We start from the raw sequence: 9210 nt of genomic DNA, 5'->3' as shown, positions 1-9210 counted from the left end.
GTGGCCACTCTTGCCATGGAGGGTAATCTGCTTTCACTAAAAGGCTACTGATTTAAATGTTAATTTTATCCAAAGACAGATTGCATAGTAATAGGTAGACTGGTGTTTAACAAAATATCTAGGTACTACGGCCTAGCCAAGTTGACACATAAGGTTAATCACCACACTGCTTTACATATATTGTATCTTAGGAACTCTGTGAGGTATTATTATCAACTGCGTTTTACAGATTAAGAAATTGAGGGAACGAGGATAAGTGTTTTGCCTTGGAGGAGAGTAATTGTAAAGAGTGAAAGACATTCAAACAGTTGTTCCAATTCAAACCAATATTCTGAACAATAATGCTTTCACTTCCAGGGGAAGAAATTTAGGCAAATTGAGATTAAGTAACTTGCCCGTGCCACTCAACTAGTAGGTGATGGATTCAGAATTTGAATCCAGATCTGATTGTAAAGTCTCTGTTGTTACTCACCATACAATAAACCTTTTCAGTCTCTGTCCCTAGGCAGCTCTCAGTCTGTTAGAAAAGTAAGATATGAAAGTGAATAATTGGCATTGTTAGGAAATGATTATTTGGAGAGACTGGAGTCTTCCTGAAAAATATGGCCTCTGAACTTGGCTTTGTAAGTAGTCAGATTGAAGAAGACACCAGGAAATGGAAAGATATTCCATGTTCATGAATTGGAAAAATCGACATTGTTAAAATGTTCACACTACCCAAAGCAATCTACCGATTCAATCCAATCGCTATCTAAATACCAATGATATTCTTCACAGAAATAGAAAAAAATTATAAAATTTATGTGGAACCACAACAGAACTAGACTAGCCAAAACTATCTTAAGTGAAAAGAACAAAACCAGAGGATTCACATTACCTGACTTTAAATTATACTACAGAGTGGTAGTAACCAAAATAGCACGGTACTGGCATAAAAACAGACACACAGACCAATGAAACAGAAGAGAGAACCAAGAAACAAAAGTCCACACACCTACAGTGAACTTATTTTCAACAAAGTTGCCAAGAACATACACTGGAGAAAAGACAGTCTCTTCAATAAATGGTGCTGGGAAAACTGGATAGCCATATACAAAAGAATTAAACTAGACCGCTCTCTCTCACCATATGCAAAAATCAAATCAAAATGGATTAAATACTTAAATCTAAGACCTCAAACTATTAAACTACTACAAGAAAACATTGGGGAAACTCTCTAGAACATTGGTCTGGGCAAAACTTTCTTGACTAATATCACACCAGTGAAGACGACCAAAGCAAAATGGACAAAAGGGATCATCTCAAGTTAAAAACCTTCTGCATAGAAATGAAAACAATCAACAAAGTGAGAAGACAATCCACAGAATCGGAGAAAATATTTGCAAACTACCCATTTGACCCCATTTGACAAGGGACTAATAGTCAGAATATACAAAGGGCTCAAACAACTCCATAGGAAAACAATTAATAATCTTATCAAAAAATGGGCAAAAGATGTGAATAGTCAGTTTTCAAACCACAAATGGCAAACAGGCATATGAAAAGGTGCCCAACATAATTGATCATCAGAGAAATGCAAATCAAAATTAAAATGAGATAGCCTCTCACCCCAGTTAAAATGGCTTATAACTAAAAGTCAGGCAATAACAAATGTTGGTGAGATGTGGAGAAAAGAGAACCCGTGTACACTTTTTGTGGAAATGCAAATTAGTATAACCACTATGGAAAACAGTTTGGCGGTTCCTCAAAAAACTAAAAATTGAGCTACTGTATGATCCAGCAATCCCACTGCTAGGTATATACCCAAAAGAAAGGAAATGAGTATATTGAAGAGATATCTGTACCCCCATGTTTATTGCAGCACTGTTCACAATAGCCATGATTTGGAGACTACCTAAGTGAACATCAACAGATGAATGGATAAAGAAAATCTGGTATTTATACACAATGGAGTACTATTCATCCATAAAAAAGAATGAGATCCTGTCATTTGCAACAACATAGATGGAACTGGAGATCATTGTGTTAAGTGAAATAAGCCAGGCACAAAAGACAAATATCATGTATTCTCACTTACTTGTGGAATCTAAAAGTCAAAACAATTGAACACATGAGTAAAGAGTGTAGAAGGATCATTACTAGAAGCTGGGCAGGGGAATGGGGACTTGGGGGAGTGGTGGGGATGGTTAATGGGTGCAAAAAATAGAATGAGTAAGACCTAATATTTGATGGCACAGTGTGACTATAGTCAATAATAATTTAATTGTACATTTTAAAATAAACTAAAAGAGTATAACTGGATTGTTTGTAACACGAAGGATAAATGCTTGAGGGGATGGATACCCCATTCTCCTTGATGTGCTCATCTCACATTGCCTGCCTGTATATTGTTCCCCCTCCCAAGTAGCTGGGATTACAGGCACCCGCCACCACACCTGGCTAATTTTTTTTGTATTTTTAGTAGAGATGGGGTTTTGCCATGTTGGATAGACTGGTCTCGAATGCCTGACCTCAGGTGATCAGCCTACCTTGGCCTCCCAAAGTGCTGGGATTATAAGCGTGAACCACCGTGCCTGGCCACATGCCTGTATCAAAGCATCTCATGCACTCCACAAATATATACACATACTATATACCCATAAAAATTAAAAATAAAAAAATTCATAAAAGATACAATAATGAGGCTTTATTAGTTGGACAAAAGTACATTCCAGGAAAAATCTGGCATGTGAAATAAAATGAGTATAAAACAGCAAAGTGTATTAGGGAAAGAATGAGCATTTTGTTATTTCTCTAACTGATATAAAGTGGGGGTGAAGTGGGGTGGGGTGGGGTGGTGAGACAGGAGATCAGAATGGCCAGTTAGAGCTAGGCTAGATATTTTGTGTTGGTAGGGAGACGGGGGAGAGATTTTATTAGACTTTAGTTTTACAAACGATGAGAAAGTCTTTCAGAAAAAGTTGTGACTTTGAAGTAGACAAAAAACTGTACTAGGTGTCTTCAATCGAAATATATGTTGTCTAAAGGACAGAGCACACCCTTCTGAGTTATTTGATTCTATGGATTTTGCATCTTTCATTGTCTTTCAGCTATTTAAAATTCTGTAAATTGCAGATCATGTCGATGCAAATGACTCTTGTCCATAGATGTGCAAATGAATTGTCTGGAGAATGGAAAATTAATTTTCCTCCCTACTGTGGAAAAAGCCAGGCTTGAATATATTGGTAAATTCTTCTCAGCATCCCTTATCAACCTATGTAAGTGTGGTACTTTAACTTCTCCTTTGAACTCATTGTAACATCTTACTTGCTCCCTCATTCATTAATTAGTTAAATAAAATCTATGACACATGTTTATTTTATAGTTGTATGAAAGTTATCATGCTACCTTAAATTTTTTTTAACTTGTCTGTCCTAAGTGAAGAGACAATGTGCTTCCTATGAAGGCAGTGGTAGCACACGCAGATGGCGGGAAGGCAATAAAGTAGAGAGTGCTTTATACTGACTTTGTACTGACAAAACCTAGTGTACTGGCTTTGTACTGACAAGACCTAGTGTACAGGCTTTGTACTGATGAGACCTAGTGCTCTGATGAGACATGGGAAGTGATGAATTATGAGGGTTCAAAAATAATTCCCCGATTTCTGGCATGAGTGATTACATAGATAATTTCTTTTATCAAGATATGACCCACAGGACAAAAGATATCAAGGTAGAAATTACAGTAGGTTACTAGATATTTGGTTGTGGAGTTCAGAAGTACTGATGCTAGAGGTGCTGATTTGAGAGTCATACATTTATAGATGTAAATTTATGAGACTAAATTTAAACATTAAGGAAGAATTGTAAGGTGAAAAGACAGGTGGGCACAAACATTTTAAGGATGAGCAGAGTCAAAAGATCTAGTAAAAGAGATGGGAAATAAATATCTTTATTTTTGGATGATGTTAGAGAAGTCAAGGGAGAACAATGTTTTTAGAAGGAAACACTAGTGAACAGTGTCAAATGCTGGAATTTTCAGTCAGTTGGGTTTGGCAATGTGAAAGTCAGTGGTGGCCATTGCCAATCAAGTTTAAGTGTCATGGGGTTTGTGTGTGTGTGTGTGTGTGTGTGTGTGTGTGTGTGTGTGTGTGTAGAATGATAAAAGCAAAAACAGGATGTTGGGAATTTGAAAATCTGATAGACGGTAAGGAAAGCTGTGGGAAAGAAGGTATGAATCGTTGAAAAATCAAGGGAATTTTTAAGATTGAACATAGCATAAGGGGAAGGAGTCATCTGAAGACAAGGAAGAGAGAGAAGGAATTAAATTTAAAAAGCTCCAAGTTAGATCAAAATACATCGGACTCAGAGTCTAAGTGGAAACAACTTTCAAAAGGAGGAAGATGTTTTACCCTGAGGTTCAAGGAAAAGAGGAATAGCTGGGAGCAGCACAGGTAGCTTCTAAGGTTGCAGAGCAGGAAAGGTGAAATATATGTTACTTGGTAACTCTTAATATCATGTACTCAGAGTGAAGGAGTGAAATTCAGGAGGAAAGGAAAAGTATGCCTAATCCCTGAGTTGAATGAGAGTGGGAAAGCTGATAAAAGATAAACTCTTCATGGTAAAATTAATCTGGTATAAGTAGCTTTTCTCTTGGTGTACTGTTCTTTGCAAGGTTTTATTTGCAGGTATGAAATGCCTGGTTCGTGGATGGTTGCTAAGAGATATGCTTACTCTGAAATATCTTTTTCACCTTCCTTTACTTTTCACCATTACACTCTTTAGTTCATTAGAAAACTATGGGGGAAAGGATTAGTCTCCTCAAACATCCGTTAGATATGTATACCTGGCAACGGTCCCTCTAAAAACGTAGTACATCATTTTAGCTCCATTATTGAAACACAAAGTCATAAGATGATGTAATATACAACAGATGATTTCCAGTGGGGTAAAATTGTAACAACCACCATTGTGGGCGGGTGAGAACAAACACAGTGTATAGGTTAGGAAGGGCAGATCTTTATACTAAGAATGGAAGATATCCAAAAGGAAGGGGACGATACGAAGATGAACTTCATCTCACAGTTTTGCTTTAATAGCCCAGAATATGGATAATTATGGTTACTTACCTCTAGCAGTGTAGTATTGATAGGTAATGACATAGTCATTTTAGAATGATTCTTTCCTATGTGATATTCTCCCAGATCACTGCTCTAAGTGCTTTATGTGTGTTAAATTGTTTAATCCTTACAACCACACCTAAGTTAGATTATTATTCTTGTTTTACAAATGCAGAAGTCATTGAGTTAAAAGAAAAACCTTGTAATTCACATAGCTAGCATGTAGTGAAGCTTCAAACCCAGTTGCATTGATGCAGTTGTGGATACCCTACCTCATTTTGCCAGCTGCCTATGTGGACTACAGTAACTTGTTGCACTCCTTGTGTGCTATGCAGTGCCTGTTACAAGGACTCTCACTACAAGTCTGACTTTTTTATTTCACTTGCCTTCTCCATGTGCTGTGATTCTTCAACTTTACTGCACTCAAGAATCAAGGGAACTTACTTAAAAAGAAATCAGATTCCAGGGTTCCAACCCCAGAAATTCTAATTCTAGAAGTCTGACTATGTCCCATGAATTTGCACTCTAAGCAGACTTCCTAGGTAGCTCTGAAACAGGTGGTCTGTAGACCACACTTTAAGAATTATCTTCAAGGATTGGGCTAGTTTTAGTTTGTAGTGATTTCTTGTGTCTCTTAATGTAAGTAATTGGAAACTGTTGGGTTAAATTCCATAGTTAGTATTGTATAAGTATGTGTAAATATGTTTTATGGCTGAAAATGAAATGTTGAGTAATTTTTGTGGATTAGTAGTATCTTTAAAAAGCACTCCTATTTCTAGGAGACATTTTTATTACATTAATATGTTGTATGAACCTGGCTCTTTGTGGGGAAATCTTAAAAATTTTATATAAAATAGACAATTCTGCCAGAATTATGGCATTATAACTTACTCAACAGCTTTGGAAACACAATAAAAGAAATATTATGAACTTACTATTCTTTCTCTTTACTGTTGACATTAGGATGGGCCCTTAAAATTATAACTATGTATTTATACCGTATATGAAAATATGGATACATTTCATAGATATGAATATATAGGAGCAATCCACTTCTGCTTCGTTGCTTTTTACATTTTGTTTTCAGTTTTCTAACAAAGGTCATCTTTGTATTCAGTCCAGGAATCCAATCTCTATCTAGTGTTGACATAAGGGAACTATAGGCTGTTTTTAAAATGTCAGTTATAATCTCTGAATGGAGCGCTTGGGTGGTCAATTTCATGTTTCTGAATTTTGGTGGTGGTAGAGGTTTTTAGTGCCAGTTGTGCGGGGATTTGATTCCTGTGTAGAAGGATAAAGCAGGAACCAGATAAGATAGGTGCTGAGAAAATTAATTGGCCTTTACAAGCCATTTGTCACAAGGCACAGGGTAGTTCAATGCACAATGCGTAATGTGTGCAGCAAGACCAGGTGTGTATTGTGTTATCTATGGTAACATCCTGATAGCTACTTGAAATCTGGCTGGTACTAGCCAAGCAACAGAAAATATTCAGGTGGTTGAAATAAGATAGGTAATGACGTTTTTTTATTTAGATGATCTGTCCATTCAAGGCAGAATGCCACCCAGCGGTAGCCTGATAGGAGTGGCAAGGGCTTGGTGGTAAAAATGATGATGAAGAAAAAGCTTACAAGCTGTACATACCATAAGAGAACCTAGCACTCATTCGCAATGTAAATCCAGGTAGACCAGTGATATGTTTAGCTTGGTAAGAATTGGTGCAGGAATTGGGGTCAATGGTTCTGTACTGTTAGAGGAGGTTCATTGGCAAATACATTTGAGAATCTGGGAAACATTTCCCTGGAGAGCCTTTTTTTCTTTTTTTAAAGACATCATGACACTCTTACAAATACCTCTCCTAAGTTCTAAAGAGACAAGCACAAGTATACTGCATAAGCCATAATGACTGAAAAAATATAAAAGACAAGGTGAAAGGAAAATAAGGAAGAATAATAAAATGGGGCTATAAGAGAGAGAACTAGAGATATGTGCTATAAAATTCTCACAGTGTCTGAAGGTGGGACACCACATCAATTTTGAATTTCCTAATGAGCCAAAACCAAGAGGGAATCAGGACAAGTTGCAAGATTCAAATTGTCCATATGATAACATATACCAGCTCGAGGGGAGGCCGTGGCCTTGAAGTCTAAAGGAAGTTCCCCCATAGTTGTTGCAAGGGAGACAGAATGAAACAGTATGCAACAAGATTTTCTTACAACATTTTTATAGCATTTTTCAATATAGGATACGTCATTAAACAAAAGCACAATTTTTAAAAAGTGATTCTTTTATTGTCTAGGAAGGCCTAGACAATATAGTCTGGATTGATTGGATAAACACAGAGGAACAAGAGAGCGGCAGAATTGTACCATGCATGCAGCAGGCCATGCTCTACACGGGCCTCTCAGGATGCAGCAGAGAGGTACCCTGGGTAATTTCTGGCAAATCTTTCAGTATTGTTATTCTATGTTAGTGATGGTGGGAAGATTCATAGGTCTTAAATATTTACCAAGTACAGGATAAAGTTCTCATACTTTTATTAAAATAAAGGAGTGTAAGACTCTGTATTGAAGAGATAGCAGTCTATAGTTCCAACCGTAGGCAAAGTAAAACATTCCTAAAACTAGACTCATTTTTGTGTTGGCTCCAACACTTGAACAAATTAAAGACTGAATCCTCATAGTTTAAACCCTTAGAGCATCTTTGAGACTATCGTAGTTTGGAAAATTTCCCATGCAGAAATAATTAATTGATCATTAGGCCATAAAAAAATCTTACTCAGGATATCTAACTTTAATTATAGTGGTTGGCCAGTGATACATAGCTTAAATTACTCCTCAGTAACTAAAGGAGGTTTTCTGTCAATTCATATGAAAAATATCTGTCAAAATTTATGAGAGTCAGCATTCCTTCTGCTGTTAGCTCATCAGGCCCTTTGTCTCTTGAGACCAGTGTGAGTCTATTAGATCATATCCCTAGTATTGAGGAGAGCACTTAATTGTTCTTCTAGGTGTGAGGTAGGAATGGACTACATGTATTAGGTAATCTACACTGTGTCAGTGGGCGAGTGTACCCTATGTGATGATAATGATAATGATATCATAATAGTGATTTTACTGAATATTTACTACATATACTTGATACTTGCTAAGCACATTATGCACTTTATTTCATTTAATTTTTGATATTCATTTAGTTATTATTAAGTATAATTGTTTTCAATTTGCAGCTATGGAGACAAGAGTTTAGAGTTTAAAGAGCTTACTTACATTTGCACAGCTACAAGGTAGAATGTACACCCAGGTGGAAATAGGAAAGTCTGTATTCTTTTCTATTTGGAAAGAACAACATTTGCCTTTTCATCTTTGCATTTCACCATCTGACCTACAGATTATAGATCTCATAACAGAGTTCAAATTAAGGGCCTTTTGCTATTTAGCATGGAGGGAATGTGTTGCCAGGCCCAAGGCTTAGCCATTGTCCCTGCATGGGAGCCACCCGCCAAATTTCTTGAAACATAACTGTTAAATATATTATATCCAGCAGAGTAGATTCAGTTTTTCAGAAACATTTTCCATGTCATTTAGAATCCTTAATGATTAGAGTATTATTTAGAGATTTTAAATAATTTTATAGAACATGAATTATATTTTATTGTTTAAATTAAAATATTATTTTAATGTTAAAAAACTTTAAACTTCTTACTATGTCTTCAAAGTACTGTTAGTTATATCTATGATTTATTTGATGCTGGAGTCTTTGTCAGGTTCACTATTGGTAAGGTAGTCTTTCAATGGGCAACTTTGATTCACTCTTGAAAATCTTATTCACAAAATAATTTCCAGAAAGATATGATAAATAAGCAGGAATTACTTGTACATTTTATCTTCATAGTGTAAACCTTGGGATAGTGCAAAATGCTCTGATCTCAAGAAATGCTATTTATGCACACAAAAATGTAAGGATGAAAAATATTTGTCCGTATATACTGTTAAAAATTATTCTCTGCTGTTGTTGGTTTCATGCTGTAGAAACAAACCCTGAAGGGTACTGATAAGTTGCCTTAAGGCAATTATGCTTTTAGGCCATTTATCCTAATGCATTTCTAATATGA

General features: G+C 36.2%; 1 long non-coding RNA gene across 4 annotated transcripts in view; it reads left to right on the top strand.

Annotated features, from left to right (window-relative positions):
• Positions 1-4360: 4360 nt before the first annotated feature.
• Positions 4361-9210, top strand: part of LINC02277 (long intergenic non-protein coding RNA 2277) — an 89356-nt gene continuing 84506 nt past the window's right edge. For 2 of the 4 annotated variants that reach the window (XR_002957611.2, XR_001750745.1), the window contains exons 1-2: positions 5144-5737; positions 7396-7527. This is a non-coding gene — a long non-coding RNA (long intergenic non-protein coding RNA 2277). The other 2 variants (XR_001750743.3, XR_001750744.3) reach the window with 2 other exon arrangements.

The sequence above is a fragment of the Homo sapiens genome, chromosome 14 (assembly GCF_000001405.40).
Source record: "Homo sapiens chromosome 14, GRCh38.p14 Primary Assembly".
Classification (NCBI taxonomy): Eukaryota; Metazoa; Chordata; class Mammalia; order Primates; family Hominidae; genus Homo; species Homo sapiens.
This window is presented reverse-complemented; position numbering and strand designations above follow the sequence as displayed.